Here is a 16836-nt window from a genome sequence, read left to right as displayed (position 1 = left end):
CAGTTGACAGCTTTGGGTTCCTAGCAGACTGCTTTTAACATGAGATGATTATGGTTGTAGTGGTGGGGGAAAATGTTTAAAACTTGTTTTACAACTTCTAGAGTAAAACATAAGCTTAAACACTCCCTGTTGCAACCACATGCAGTACAACACTTGAAACTAACGTTAGATCTCTTGCGAGATTCTGAATTGAGAAATTCAGCAATTTGATACAAATAGCCCTGATTTGCTGCAGCTCAGTAAAGGTGCTACACTTCATACTATATACTTAAGTCAGAGAGTTACAGTATACATCCCAGAAAAAATCAGCAGCCATTCCCCTATTAATATGTACATGTATTTCCAAGACATCCAGAATTCTCTACTCCCCTGACGTCTCCTCTCCCCAAGGTTTCTTTCTCTATTTAGGGATTGAAGTTCTCAGTAAAGGGGGCTGAACCAGACAATACCCAATTTAGAGCACATCCATTTCCAATCTAAAACAAAGGAGGTCTTTCAAACTCTGCTCAGAAAATAGAGGGGTTTGATTTCAGAGAAGTATAGTTAAGATGTGGTAAGAACTGGGCAGTAGAAAAACTGGCCAGTGTATAGTTAGTGTTATACACTAATAAACCTTTTTTCAGATTCTTAATTAGAACCAAGTACAGAGAACCAGACAGAGACAAGAACTGCAGCTAATCATCACAGGATATTCACTAGAAATAGGGCCTAAAATTATGTTGATTAACTATTAGCAATGACCTCAGAGAGGAACTGGAATTCCATTAGTACCAAGGGTTAGGTAAGGAGACCAAAGAAAATTTACACAGGTGGCAGGTATTGAAATTGGCTATATTTTTATCTATTCAAAGGGAATTAGAGAACAACCAGCAAAATAATTTTTTTAAGTTGAAGCAAAGGGAAAAAAGGTATTACCCTCTTCAACACACCATACAAATTATTTACTGAAGCAGTAATTTTTAAAATTTAGAAGTTTGTCTTGAAAGTGCAAAGAAGATTTAAGAAGCTATATCCCCTATGAAATAATTCTCTTTAAATTGTCACTTCACTTTAGTTGAAACTGGAACTGGAAACTTAAAAAGTATGTATTAGAGATATGGTGACTGTATAACTGACTGTCATTAGGGCACCACTGAGAGTGAAAGGGGATGCCAAGTAAATAGAAAACTATGTCACAAACAAAAGTGGGTAGAGTGTACAGCCCCATTAACTAGTTATGCTTTATGCAAAAAAACCTTAGCCTTACTTTCCAAATTTAAATAAGTGTGCCTTTATTTGTTTCAAGTACATATACAAGCTTATGTATTTGTTATTATTTCTACTTTAATGGCAAGAGTGTAGTGAGTCTGAGACTCATGCAACACTGATGACAGTGAAAACTGGTATAACTTCTGGAAAGAGATGTGGCAATATTTATAAAGAGACTTAGCATCCTTTGTAACCTAGTAATTGACTTTGAAAGAAGGAGCTGGGTATGCCAACTTAGGCCCCAAGAAAGGAAATAACTTTTCATCTGAGGAATGCTAATCCCTTTAAATTGTCAGGCCCAGAGAGGCATTTAAAATGTAACGAGACAGGGATGCCCTCTCTCACCACTCCTATTCAACATAGTGTTGGAAGTTCTGGCCAGGGCAATCAGGCAAGAGAAAGAAATAAAGGGTATTCAATTAGGAAAAGAGGAAGTCAATTTGTCCCTGTTTGCAGATGACATGATTGTATATTTAGAAAACCCCATCATCTCAGCCCAAAATCTCCTTAAGCTGATGAGCAACTTCAGCAAAGTCTCAGGATACAAAATCAATGTAAAAAAATCACAAGCATTTCTATACATCAATAACAGACAAAGAGACAGCCAAATCATGAGTGAACTCCCATTCACGATTGCTACAAAGAGAATAAAACACCTAGGAATCCAACTTACAAGGGATGTCAAGGACCTCTTCAAGAAGAACTACAAACCACTGCTCAACGAAATAAAAGATGACACAAACAAATGGAAAAACATTCCATGCTCATGGATAGGAAGAATCAATATCGTGAAAATGGCCATACTGCCCAAGGTAATTTGTAGATTCAGTGCCATCCCCATCAAGTTACCGATGTCTTTCTTCACAGAATTGGAAAAAACTACTTTCAAGTTCATATGGAATCAAAAGATAGCTGCATTGCCAAGACAATCCTAAGCCAAAAGAACAAAGCTGGAGGCATCATGCTACCTGACTTCAAACTATACTACAAGGCTACAGTAACCAAAACAGCATGGTACTGGTACCAAAACAGATATATAGACCAGTGGAACAGAGCAGAGGCCTCAGAAATAACACCACACATCTACAACCATCTGATCTTTGACAAACCTGACAGAAACAAGAAATGGGGAAAGGATTCCCTATTTAATAAATGGTGCTGGGAAAACTGGCTAGCCATATGTAGAAAGCTGAAACTGGATCCCTTCCTTACACCTTATACAAAAATTAATTCGAGATGGATTAAAGACTTAAATGTTAGACCTAAAACCATAAAAACCCTAGAAGAAAACCTAGGCAATACTATTCAGGACATAGGCATGGGCAAGGACTTCATGACTAAAACACCAAAAGCGATGGCAACAAAAGCCAAAATAGACAAATGGGATGTAATTAAACTAAAGAGCTTCTGTGCAGCAAAAGTAACTATCATCAGAGTGAACAGGCCACCTACAGAATGGGAGAAAAGTTTTGCAATCTACCCATCTAACAAAAGTCTAATATCCAGAATCTACAAAGAACTTAAACAAATTTATAGGAAAAAAACAAACAACCCTATCAAAAAATGGGCCAAGGATATGAATAGACACTTCTCAAAAGAAGACATTTATGCAGCCAACAAACATGTGAAAAAAAGCTAATCATCACTGGTCATTAGAGAAATACAAATCAAAACCACAATGAGATACCATCTCACACCAGTTAGAATGGCAGTCATTAAAATGTCAGGAAACAACAGATGCTGGAGGGGATGTGGAGAAATAGGAACGCTTTTACACTGTTGGTGGGAGTGTAAATTAGTTCAACCATTGTGGAAGACAGTGTGGCGATTCCTCAAGGATCTAGAACCAGAAATACCATTTGACCCAGCAAATCCCATTCCTGGGCATATACCCAAAGGATTATAAGTCATTCTGCTATAAAGACACATGCACATGTATGTTTATTGTGGCACTGTTCACAGTAGCAAAGTCTTGGAACCGACACAAATGCCCATCAATGATAGACTTGATAAAGAAAATGTGGCGTATATACACCATGGAATATTATGCAGCCATAAAAAAGGATGAGTTCATGTCCTTTGCAGAGACATGGATGAAACTGGAAACCATCATTCTCAGCAAAGTAACACAAGAAGAGAAAACCAAACACCGCATGTTTTCACTCATAAGTGGGAGTCGAACAATGAGAACACATGGACATAGGGAGGGGAACATCACAAACCGGGGCCTGTCAGGGGTTGGGGGACTAGGGGAAGGATAGCATTAGGAGAAATACCTAATGTAGATGATGGGTTGTTGGGTGCAGCAAACCACTATGGCATGTGTATACCTACGTAACAAACCTGCACGTTCTGCACATGTATCCCCGAAGTTAAAGTATAATAAAAAATATTTTTTAAAAAAATAGGATTATGCAGAGGCATGTCCACTCTGCCTGTGACTACTAGGGCAGAAAAAGCAGGCATCCGCAGCTTAACTAATAATCTTCATTCACCTATACAAAACGTTCTGTTGCAGGCTTCCTGTTTTTCTTCAAACCACTGCTTTTTAGACTTTTACTTTCCTGATTCTTTCTAGGAATTGAGTAATACAAAAGATTCTTTTTAATAATAAAAAAAGAAAAATGCAATTATCTTTTCCATGTGTTATAGTCTGACATGGCATGAATAAACACTCCAAAAACAAAAAGCAAAAAATCCACACTCAAAACCTGGTAAAATTATTTACATAAATCAATACGGAGATAATCTAGGACAGAGGAAAACTTCCAGTTGTGTAATATATTGTAAATATTTAAAAACATTTTAGTAGCATGAATCAATTATATCCAAATCCAGATTATAAATTTTTTCTCTTGAAAGTCTACTATTATAAAATTAAAAAAACTATATGAATCTGTATTTTATAGTAAATATTTTGAAATGTCAAGGGATGTAAAGTTTGTGAAACTGGCCCTGACATAAAAGTAGCCATCAAGGGTTCAGTGTTAAAAACTGAATAGCTTTCATTGTCTGGTCCTTCCTTTTAGTGATAAGATCCCACAATAGAGACAACACTTCTTTGTGACTGCCATTGTCAATGTTGTTACAGTATTGTTTCTAGTACCTAAAGAGTTTATCATAAAATGAAGTTCCCTGTGCCATTTCAAAGAACTTCTCATGCTGTGTGTCTGCTTTTAGGCATAGTATTGCCTAGAAGTGGTTCAGCAGAACTCAGAGAAATGGGTACTCTAACTCTCTAAGTATGGAAAAAACTAAATTCACAAGCAGCTGAATAACTAAATAGAAATATTGGTTCATGGTGGCAAAAAAAAAAAAACTTTTTCTGGAGTGAAAATTGTAAGTCAAAATGTCTCAGGGAGATAGTCTTGAAATATTTTCTTGAAAAGATGTCTACAGGTCAGCATTGTTCATCAAAACACTTTCCAGGCATGTGAAAACTGATTCGTTAGTGTGAATTTATGGGACACTGAGCATAACATCAGGAAATAATCCTGCAAGTAATTATCACACATAAAAGACCTCCTGTTGCAAAAATGTCAGTTACATTGAGGAAAATTACTCATATTATCCTCCACCTGCCTTTTTTAGAACTTCTCATTCTGCTTTGTATATGGCAAGACTAGCATATTAAGATGCTAGAAACACTGAAGGGTAAAAAGTTTTTCTATTTGCATCATCTACCAGTTAGTTTGATCTACAGAGAGGCTCACATGCTAGCAGTTGGTGATGGCTGCTGGTTGGAGATTCAGCTGGGGCTGTCAGGGCCAGTTCTTTCCTGAAGGACCTCTCTGCATGGCTGCCTGGTTTCCTTTCCACCTGAGGGCTGGGTTCCAAGAAGGATTAATTCGAGAAGTAAGGATAGAAGATGCAGACCTTAGAAGTTCAAGTGTTGCATCAGCTGCATTCAATTAGTCATAAAACTGAGAAGAGGGGTGTCCAGTCTTTTGGCTTCCCCAGGCCACATTGGAAGAATTGTCTTGGGCCACACATGAAATACACTAACACTAAGGATAGCTGATGAGCTAAAAGAAAAAAAAAATCTCATCATGTTTTAAGAAAGTTCATGAATTTGTGCTGTGTTCAAATTCATTCTCTGGCTCATTCTCTAGAAGGAAGGATGGACAGCCCTATATAAGATTAGAGTTTCCACTCCTCAGTAAATGCAAAAGAACTGAAATCATAACAGTCTCTCAGATCACAGTGCAGTCAAATTAGAACTCAAAATTAAGAAATTCATTCAAAACCACACAACTACATGGAAATTGAACGACCTGCTCCTGAATGAATCCTGGGTAAATAACGAAATTAAGGCAGAAATCAAGAAATTCTTTGAAACTAATGAGAACAAAGAGACAACACACCAGAACTCTGGGACACAGCTAAAGCAGTATTAAGAGGGAAATTTATAGCACTAAATGCCCTCATCAAAAAGTTAGACCTCAAATCAACAACCTAACATCACAACTAAAGGAACTAGAGAACCAAGAGCAAATAAACTCCAAAGCTAGTAGAAGACAAGAAATAACAAATATCAGAGCTGAACTGAAGGAGACAGAGACATAAAAAACCCTTCAAAAAATCAACAAATCCAGGAGCTGGTTTTTTGAAAAAAATTAATAAAATAGACAGACTGCTGCACCTATCAACCCATCACCTAGGTATTAAGCCCAGCATGCATAGCTCTTTTCCCTAATGCTCTCCCACCTCTGCCCTCCCACAACAAGCCGCAGTAAGTGTTGTTCCCCTCCCTGTGTCCATGTGTTCTCATGTTCAGCCCCCACTTATAAGTGAGAACATGGGGTGTTTGGTTTTCTGTTCCTGTGTTAGTTTGCTGAGAATATTGGCTTCCAGCTTCATCCATGTCCCTGCAAAGGGCATGATCTCATTCCTTTTTATGGCTGCATAGTATTCCATGGTGTATATGTACCTGCACATCCTGCACATGTACCTCAAAACTTAAAAAATAAAAAAGTAAAATAGGCCACTAGTTAGATGAATAAAGAAGAAAAAAGAGTCAAATGGACACAATCAGAAATGATAAAGGAAATATCACCACTGACCCCAAAGAAATACAAACAGCCATCAGATAATACTATAAACACCTCTATGTACACAAACTAGAAAATCTAGAAGAAATGGATAAATTCCTGGATGCACACACCCCCGCAAGACTGAACCAAGAAGAAACTGAATCCCAAAATAGATGAATAAGGAGTTCTGAAATTGAGGCAGTAATAAATAGCCTACCAACCAAAAAAAGCCTACTACCAGACAGATTTACAGCTGAATTCTACCAGAAGTTCAAAGAGGACCTGGTACCATGTGTACTGAAACTATTCCAAACAACTGAAAAGCAGGGACTCCTCCCTAACTCATTTTATGAGGCCAGCATCATTCTGATAGCAAAACCTGGCAGAGATACAACAAAAAAAGAAAACTTCAGGCCAATATCCCTGATTAACATAGATGCAAAAATCGTCAATAAAATCCTGGCAAACAGATACAACAGCACATCAAAAAGCTTATCCATCACGATCAAGTTGGCGTCGTCCCTGGGATGCAAGGTTGATTCAACATACAAAAATCAATAAATGTAATTCATCACATAAACAGAACTAAAGACAAAAACCACACGATTATCTCAATAGACACAGAAAAGACCTTTGGTAAAATTCAACATCCCTTCATGTTAAAAAAAAAAAAAAAAAACTCTCAAGCAACTAGGTATTGAAGGAACATACCTCAAAATAATAAGAGCCATATATGACAAACCCACAGCCACTACCATACTGAGTGGGCAAAAGCTGGAAGCATTCCCTTGGAAAGCAGGCACAAGATAAGGATGCCCTCTCTTACTACTCCTATTCAACATATTATTGGAAGTCCTGGCCTGGGCTAACAGGCAAGAGGAGGAAATAAAGTGTATGCAAATAGGAAGAGAGGAAGCCAAATTATCTTTGTTTGCAGATGACATAATCCTATATCTAGAAAATCCCATTGTCTCAACCCAAAAGCTTCTTAAACTAGTAAGCAACTTTAGCCCCAGGATACAAAATCAATGTGCAAAAATCATAAGCATTCATATACACCAACAACAAGCATGCAGAGAGCCAAATCATGAATGAACTCCCATTCACGATTGCTACAAAGAGAATAAACTACCTAGGAATACAGCTAACAAGGAAAGTGAAGGATCTCTTCAAGGAGAACTGCAAACTGCTGCTCAAGGAAATCAGAGAGGACACAAACAAATAGAGAAACAGTCCATGCTCACAGAGAGGAAGAATCAATATCATGCAAATGGCCACACTGCCCAAAGTAATTTATAGAGCCAATGCCATTACCATTAAATCACCATTGACATTCTTAATGGAATTAGAAAAAAAGCTGTGTTAAAATTCATATGGAACCAAAGATGAGCCCATATAGCAAAGACAATTCTAAACAAAAAGAACAAAGCTGGAGTCATCATGCTACCTTACTTCAAACTATGCTATAAGGCTACAGTAACCAAAACAGCACGGTACTGTTACCAAAACAGATATATATAGACCAATGGAACAGAACAGAGGCCTCAGAAATAATGCCACATATCTACAGCCATCTGATCTTTGACTAACCTGACAAAAACAAGCAATAGGAAAAGGACTCCCTATTTAACAAATGGTGTTGGGAAAACTGACTAGCCATATGCAGAAAATGGAAACTGGACCCCTTCCTTACACCTTATACACAAATTAACTCAAGATGAATTAAAGACTTAAATGTAAACCCCAAAACAATAAAAACCCTAGAAGAAAATCTAGGCAATACTATTCAGGACACAGGTGGGGAAAGCAATGGCAACAAAATTACACCAAAAGCAATTTCAACAAAAGAAAAAATTGACAAATGGGATCTAATTAAACTAAAGAGCTTCTGCACAGTAAAAGAAACTATCATCAGCGTGAACAGAAAGCCTAGAGAATGGGAGAAAAATTTTGCAAACTATCCATCTGACAAAGGTCTAATATTCAGAGTCTACAAGGAACTTCAACAAATTTACAAGAAAAAAAAACCCATTAGAGAAATGTAAATTAAAGAAATGTAAATCAAAACCACAATGAGATACCATCTCACATCAGTCAGAATGGAGATTATTAAAAAGTCAATGTCTTTGCTACTGTGAATAGTGCTGCAATAAACATATGTGTGCATGTATCTTTATAATAGAATGATTTATATTCCTGTGGGTATATACTCGGTAATGGGATTGCCAGGTAAAATGGTATTTCTGATTCTAGATCCTTGAGGAATCGCCACACTGATTTCCACAATGGTTGAACTAATTTACATTCCCACTAATAACCTAGGTGATGGGTTGATAGGTGCAGCAAACCACCAAGGCACATGTATACCTATGTAACAAACCTGCACATTCTGCACATGTATCCCAGAACTTAAAGTAAAAAAAAAAAAATTTTAATTTAAAAAAAAGGGGAAAAAAGGCCAAGAAACAACAGATGCTGGTGAGGTTGCAGAGAAAAAGGCATGCTTTTACACTGTTGGTGGGAATGTAAGTTAGTTCAACCATTATGGAAGGCAGTGTGGTAATTCCTCAAAGATCTAGAAGCAGAAACACCATTTGGCCCAGCAATCCCATTACTGGGTATATACCCAAAGTAATATAAATCATACTATTATGAAGATACATGCCTGCGTACGTTCACTGCAGCACTATTCACAATAGCAAAGACATGGAATCAACCCAAATGCCCATCAATGACAGACTGGATAAAGAAAATGTGGTACCTAACCACCATGGAATACTATGCAGCCATAAAAAGAAATGAGATCATGTCTTTTGCAGGGACATGGATGAAGCTAGAAGCTGTTATCCTCAGCAAACTAATCCAGGAACAGAAAACCAAACACTGCATGTTCTCACTTATAAGTGGGAGCTGAATGATGAGAACACATGGACACATCAGGGGGTGGTGGGGAAACAACACACACTGGGACCTGTTGGGGGTCCAGGGGAGGGAGAGCATCAGGAAGAATAGCTAGAGGATGCTGGGCTTAATGCCTAGGTGAAGGGTTGATCTGTACAGCAAACCACCATGGCACACGTTTACCTGTGTAACAAACCTGCACATTTACCCTGGAACTTAAAAGTTGATTAAATAATATACATATATACATACACACACACACACACACACACACACACACACACACACACAAATCAAAAAATAAAAATAGAAAATATAAGATCATAGTTTCCTAATTTGCAAATTTCTCTCTTTTAATGTACCTGACTACGTGTGCTGGTACCATTGGGACCTCACATCATGATACTGCAGGACTGGAGTTCAGGGAACCCAACACAAGAAGCTGCTCTAGCTGGTGTACTTGATGTGAGAAATAAATGGTCTTGGTCTCTGACCCAGTGGTCTCGTGTTTCCTACAAGTAGGGTACAATTTAGATCCTTCACTGTTTCTGATTTAACAATGGGAGATATTTTTGTGGCCACATCTGCAAATACAGGATACTAATAAAGAAAAAGAATAACAACAGTGGCAGCAGAGAACCCAGGGAATAGGATGAAGGGCCACTTTGACTGATTTAAGTGGATAAGTAATCTCAAGTGGGAACCAATTTTTGCCGAGGTAAGGAAAATGTCTAAAGAATAATTTTGGAAAGAGAAGCTCCTAGGAAGTATTTTTAGACAGACACTTCTTTTCTTTTTTGTTTTTTTTTTTTGTCCGAGACAGAGTCTCGCTCTGTCGCCCAGGTTGGTGTGCAGTGGCTCTATCTCGGCTCACTGCAAGCTCCACCCTCCGGGTTCACACCATTCTCCTGCCTCAGCCTCTACAGTAGCTGGGATTACAGGTACCCACCACCACGCCCGGCTAATTTTTTGTATTTTTAGTAGAGACGGGGTTTCACCATGTTAGCCAGGATGGTCTCGATCTCCTGACCTCATGATCCGCCCACCTCGGCCTCCCAAAGTGCTGAGATTACAGGCATGAGCCACCACACCCGGCCCAGACATTTATTTTCATACAGGAGAAAACTGGTTGTTCCCTAGGATCTCAAATACGAGGCAGAAGGGGTTACATTTTGAGACATGCGGTAGGTTAGTAGCTCCAGCACATCCTCGAGACTGAACAGCACGGTTTCCAGCATAGTAAAGTACAGTTAAATTCATAGGTGTTGCAGGCAAATATTGTTTAAATAATGAAGATCCAAATTCAAAAAGAGTTGGAGGTTTGGGTTTATAGTCAAACATCTACCATCATCCGTTTACTCTTTTGTTAATTCTCATGGTTACAGCTTCATGACATGCAGATATTACACATCAAATCTAGTTTTTCCTTGCCTTGTTTTTCCTTTGTACATTTATTATGACACTAGCTACAAATAATAATTATTAGAATTGTTGTATTTGTCTTCTTCATTAGATTATGAATGTCTGAAATATAGAATAATATTTTAGTTATTTTCTCTGGCCCTCAAATTATTTAACATGGTGTTTTGATAACTGCCTACATTTTATTCTTCAATTAATTAATACCAAATATATATATTTTTCACAGTGCCCAGATTTAAAGCCTGTCATCTATTTATCATTTCTATTAATACAGATAGTAAATTATTTAAATGGCCTAACACTTGTGTAAAGCCATCTGTAAAAAGAACAAAACTATAAATTAAACTGTGTCTAGAAATCTACCTTCCTTTAACTCCCAGACCTGTCCAGCACCACAAGCTTTGTACGATAGTTTTACCATATTTGTCTGTCTTCTCTCCAATGGCGTCAACTGTGCCATCTGGATGCAAACGGACAAACCCTCCAGTCAGCTTGTTATAGAACTGAAGAGTATTTCCTTTTGTAAACTTCCAGCTTTCTGCAGTCCACTAAAAAGAAAAACAAAGCAAAACAAATGAAAACACCAGTATGAGAAGAAACAAAGAGAAGAAATTGCTAAGAAACAGCACTTACTAAACTCTATAGGCTGTTTTGTTTTAACACATCAAATAGTCATTTGAACATTGTTTATATGAGATAATCTAAAGCCCAAACAAAATCTTACTGTTTCTTTTCTCTTAAGTTCCAATTTCTGCCCTGAGAAGATAAAGAGAGGGCAATTAATTTCAGAAGTGTCATGCTTTCTCCAGTCATCATAAAAGAGTTTTCCAGGAAATGTGTATACATGATACCTACTCGCAGAGAAGATACTGTTATCCCTGGCATACAGTTCTCTGACAATTTTACAATCATCTTCCCCCTGATCTAGCCATCTGTGAAAAGAAAAGTGTATCGATTATTTTCAGACTTTATATTTACATTAACCATTGGCAATTATCTTCCCAAGTCAGAAATACAAGATAGCAGGAAAGGGAAAAGACGTGGCTATCTGGCTCTCAAAGGCAGAGCAGTACAGAATGGAAAAGAAAATCCTAAAATGACTCTAAGACTGCAAGGGAGGTAGAAGCAGCAGTTACTATCTGGTAAGGCTAAAATATGTTTTTGCCTAATAACACAGGTGAGTTACTCAATCAGCCTGCTAACTGTCAAAGTCGTAGATGTTATATTCACTGGATCAATTTATCCTGTCCTTTGGCCACTAAATATAGTTCAAACCCTAATCAGTTATTTCATAAATGGTTACTATGGGTTCCATAGGAAAAGAGGCAGGAAAGTGTCAAAGAAAAAAAAAAGCAAATCTATCACGAAAGCAAATCTATCACCACTGCTGGGAAAATAACTCAAAAATCAAGGTCTGTTGATAGTAAGTAAGCACTATCATCTCTGTATAAAAAGCTACATGAAACACTGTGTATATTTATTATTTTTTAACCTAATTTGGGACCTAGTCCAAAGGGAATATGTTTTCTTGTCAGAGACTTTCATTTTTCTTTCTGATATGTACAGAGAGGTAATATTTTTAAGAATCTATCTTAATTTACCATTAAATATTAAATTTCTATCATTAGGAATGATGATAAACATAATAAATGTCTGTCTCAATAGCATAAAGAGCCACTAAAATTAATGTTCACAAAAGTTACCCAACAAAGACTCAGTGACTAGGAACAACTAAATAAGTTACCCAGTTCTCAATGCACAAACTTGGAACTAACATGAAATGGATTTTTTCGATGTAAAAGTACACCTACAAACCTGTGACAGAAGAAGGCATATTCGTAATTTGTTGTGGGATCCTTGATAACAACATCATCAAGAAACCAACCATTTCCTAAACACAAATTAAAGAATGAAAATGTGATATGAATAAATATGGCCTAATAATACTTCAAGTTTTGAGAAACAAGTTCTAACTTCCAAATATATGTAAAGGTCTTGTACAATATAAAGCTTTAGTACTTCAAATAAAGCAAAATATAACAGAAGTAAACTGTAAGGAATGTATTTCTTATACATATAACAAAAGCAAAGCATTATTTTAAGGCTTCATGCCTTATTGTGTCTATTTCAGTGGGCTTTTCCAAACAATTGAAAATAGAACAATTCTGTAGCTGCTTTTAATTTCATAAACTGCATTCATAATCCTGAACCTAACATCTTCCAAAGAATATATACTCGATGAGTTACCAACACTTTCTACTTCCAGGAAGTTTTTTAAAGTTCAAATTTAAACAAAGTCTGCATAAAATATATATGTTTTGATAGACTAAAAATGAAAAATCATTCAGAAATCCTGTCCAAGCACATAGACTCACCTGGTACACATGAAGGTATAAATTTCTTTTTAAATGTTTAATTTCATATTAATTTGCAAACTAGAGTTAGTTAAAATCAATTTTACTTACACATAAAATATTTTAATTGGTCATAGTGGTTTTGTCTATGCAAAGGTCCAGCTCAAAATATATTCTATTCTAATTAAAATTATTGAGTTGGTGAGTTAATACTCATCAGCTATAGGATAAAATTTATTTTTTTCTTTTATTTTTTATTTGTATATGTTTAGAGACAGAGGCTCACTCTGTCACCCAGGCTAGAGTACAGTAGTGCAATCACAGTTCACCATAGCCTTGAACTCCTGAACTCAAGCAATCTTCCAGCCTCAGCCTCTCAAGTAGCTGGGACTCCAGGTGTGTACCACCATGCTCAGCTAATTTTTAAATATTTTTGTAGAGATGGGGTCTTGTATGTTGCCCAGGCCGGTCTTGAACTCCTGGCCTCAAGCAATCCTCACACCTCAGCCTCGCAACATGCTGGAATTATAGGCATAAGCCACTGTTCTCAGCCAGATAAAACTTTTTAACGCAGCATATAAGACGCTTCAGCTTACTCTTCAGCTTCATCCCTCATCACATACTCCCGTTATTGAGTGGTGCCAAACTCTTCACAGTTCCCTAGATCAGTGGTTCCCAAACTTAGCATGCATCTGCATCACCAGGAGGGATTACAAAAACACAGACTACTGAGTTCCACAGTTTCTAATTCAGTAGACTCAGCACAGGCAGCCTACAGTGATCAAATGCCCCAGTTTGCCCAGGACAGAGGGTTTTCCCAGGATGCAGGATTTTCAGTGCTAAAACCAGGACAGACATAGGTAAACCAGAATAGCCACAGGCAAACCAGTATGGCTAGTCATCCTAGATAAGACCCCAAGCATTGAATCTTTAACAATTTTGGTAAGCAATGCTAATGGCCTACGAACCACACTTTGAAAACCACTGCCACAGATGATTCACATACATAATTTTATGTCCTTACATACACTATTCTCTCCACCTGGAAAAAAATCTCCAAAATGTTATTTAATTTCATTTTTAGATGCTATCTCCCAAAAAAGAATTACTTGTCTCCTTTAAGGAAAAATAAAATGTTACCAGAATTCTAAAATGAGTTTTAAGAACTGAGGAGGCTGTAAAGAAAACTCTTAGAGGTAATGATACATTGATTTTAACAATACTTTGTAAGTTAGTAAGTTAGTTTTTAAATTATTAACGTAAAAATATATTGCCTACATTTTCATCATGTTTTTCCCATAAGAAAGAACTAGAACTGGATTTAGAAAACTAGAAAAGATGGGTTCCTAAAGAAAGCTAGGCTGTTCCTGCAGGGATTAGGGACGGGTAAGAGTCTAGAAAAGTCTTATTAACCGGCATTGTTTACATATGTATGTTGGTGAGTAGGTATTTAAAGCAGTAATCATTTATCTTACTATCTTCTCGGATTATCTGCCTACAATTCTACTCTGACTGTTCTGCAGACTTTCCTTTCTTTGTGGCCAAAGGCCACTTAGGAAGCCTGCAGATTTTTATTCAAGTGGGGGTCATGTAACAAATTCTAGATGGCACAGGTTCTTCAAGTGGTTTCTTCACAACGGAAAAACCCCTACTACCCTCTCCTATTACTGGCAGTTGGTGAATAGGTATCAAATCAACAGCCAACCTACTGCAATGAAAACTTGTAGTTTTTATACTCAGTGGTGAACCCATAACTTGTTGTCTGTCCCTTCCTTCATTAAGTCCTGAATATGTAGCTTTGTGCCTACATTTAGGATGGTGCTGGGATGGGTCTGAATATACTTGTCCCCCTAAAATTCATCTATTGGAACCTAAGACCCAATGTGATAACATTAAGAGATGGAGCGTTTAGGATGTGATTAAGTCATGAGGGCTCAGCCCTCATGAGTGGGATGAGTGCCCTCATAAAAGGACTTCAGGGAACTAGCGAGGCCTTTTTGCCCTTCCACCATGGGAGGACACAGCAAGAAGCCCCTCCCAAGACAACAAATGCCAGCACTTTGATCTTAGACTTCTCAGCCTCCAGAAGTGTAAGAATAAATGTTTCTTCTTTATAAATTGCCCAGTCTAAGGTATTTTGTTATAGCAGCCTCAAACTAAGTAAGACAGATGGTGAGGTCTTGCTTCTATTATTTTACTCTGGTCTTTTGAGACCTCAGCAGAAAATAAGACAGAAAAAAACACCATCATAACATTCTGTTAGACTGTACTTATAGTTCTGATTTTTGCTTTGGCCCAAAGTCATGAAGAGGACTGAAATACCTTAAATGACTAATTTTTTTTTACTTTTGTCCTTTTAATTAAATTTTTGTTTTACTAAATTGTAGTCAGAGAATGTGGCTTGTTTGGGGAAATATACCGAGATTTTCTTTTTGGCCTAATATCTGAGTCAAATTATAAAAATGTTTCATGAAGTTTTGAAATGAAAGTGCTTCCCTATCTACAAAGTACAAACAACCGAGGAGAGTAACTGATGTATCCAACTAACCTACCAAAATCTGAGACATATGATAAAATCCTATCCTATCTTCTTTTCATTTCTTCCTGACTATCTCTGAGTATTTTACTTTATCTATTTATATGCAATATTATCTGTGGAATAAAGGCTCATGACTCTTACAATCTCATTGTGAATTATAAACTTTACCAAAAAATTACCCTTCTTGTAACTTTTAATGCTTGTTGTCTTGAATTTTACTTTATCTTATAATAAGGTTAAAACTAAGATTATTTCTTTTATTTACATATTTCTGATATATCATTGCCTAAACTTTCATGTTTAATATTACTGGGTCATTTATTTCAAGTGTCTCTTGCATAGAGCATATAATTGGACACAGGGATTTTTTAGGTTGAAAATTATTGCCTTTATTTCTGTTTAAAAAAATTAACAGAAACTCAGAAATAAGGCTAAAAGATGACACATGTCCTTTCAATATTGTAGTAAAACACTAACAAGCTTGCCTGAGAATCATTTGCCTCACTGTGGGAGTGTAACATTATTTGACTTAATATTTACTATGGATTCAGGCCTAGACTCTGTAAAATTAGCTATCAACTGACAGAAAATAATATGCAAATAATTTACATCTGTTCAAAATATAGATACATTTTGTCCAAGAGAGAAGACAACCTCAAAAGTATATTTGTATTGTCTATAGAATATTGGTCATATTTTTATTAATCTTACTCATAATTTTTTTTTCATGGATTATAAGTATATATTTTTTAGTTTCTTGTAACCTCCTTTCAACCAGCTTTGTCAACCTCCTAATTCCTTCATTAATTACCTAAACACATTGTCCACTCTGTATTTGTGTAACAATCTTGTTCTTAGTTTGAAAATTATACTTTGACACTTTTTAATAAGAAAGTTTATCACCTTGTTTGATGCATTTGGGTTTTTTTTTCCTTTTTTTTTTTTTTGGTATGTGTCCTCTAGTAGTCTGTCTTTTGTTAAATGGATTTTGTTTATCTTATAATTGTTTTATACAGTAGCAGAAAATAAATTTATTGGGAAGATGTGAGTCATCTCACAGAGTTGATGAGAAGACTGAGGAAAAGCATGAATAAAATGGCAGGAGAAAACAGCTCAGACCTCACTGCCAGGACAGTCTCCTTAACGTGCCGCTGTTGGACAATCAGTAGCCTTCAAGGAATATCACCACCAGGAGATACGACTGCTGCCTCCACCACTAACTACCATGCTGGAATGCCATCACATGTCACAACATATAAATCCCCAATCTCTTCTATTTTTTAAAATTACTCTTTCTAGTATTTAGGCCCATCCTAGATTATCCCCTTGGCCAAGCCTA

The 16836-nt window shown here is 36.7% G+C and overlaps 1 protein-coding gene across 8 annotated transcripts in view; it reads right to left on the bottom strand.

Annotated features, from left to right (window-relative positions):
- Positions 1–16836, bottom strand: part of RP1 (RP1 axonemal microtubule associated) — a 312050-nt gene that overhangs the window by 180279 nt on the left and 114935 nt on the right. For 5 of the 8 annotated variants that reach the window (XM_047422069.1, XM_047422070.1, XM_047422071.1 and 2 more), the window contains exons 10-12: positions 12420–12495; positions 11329–11536; positions 11023–11152 (exon numbers count right to left, since the gene is read on the bottom strand). In XM_047422069.1, coding sequence (XP_047278025.1) covers positions 11023–11152; positions 11329–11536; positions 12420–12495 — 414 coding nt within the window. Of the gene's footprint in view, positions 1–10967; positions 11261–11328; positions 11537–12419; positions 12496–16836 lie in introns of those variants that run through there. The other 3 variants (XM_047422072.1, NM_001375654.1, XM_017014158.2) reach the window with 2 other exon arrangements.

Source organism: Homo sapiens, chromosome 8 (genome assembly GCF_000001405.40).
Source record: "Homo sapiens chromosome 8, GRCh38.p14 Primary Assembly".
Taxonomy (NCBI): Eukaryota; Metazoa; Chordata; class Mammalia; order Primates; family Hominidae; genus Homo; species Homo sapiens.
The sequence above is the reverse complement of the archived record's forward strand: the minus strand, read 5'-3'. Positions and strand labels throughout refer to the sequence as shown.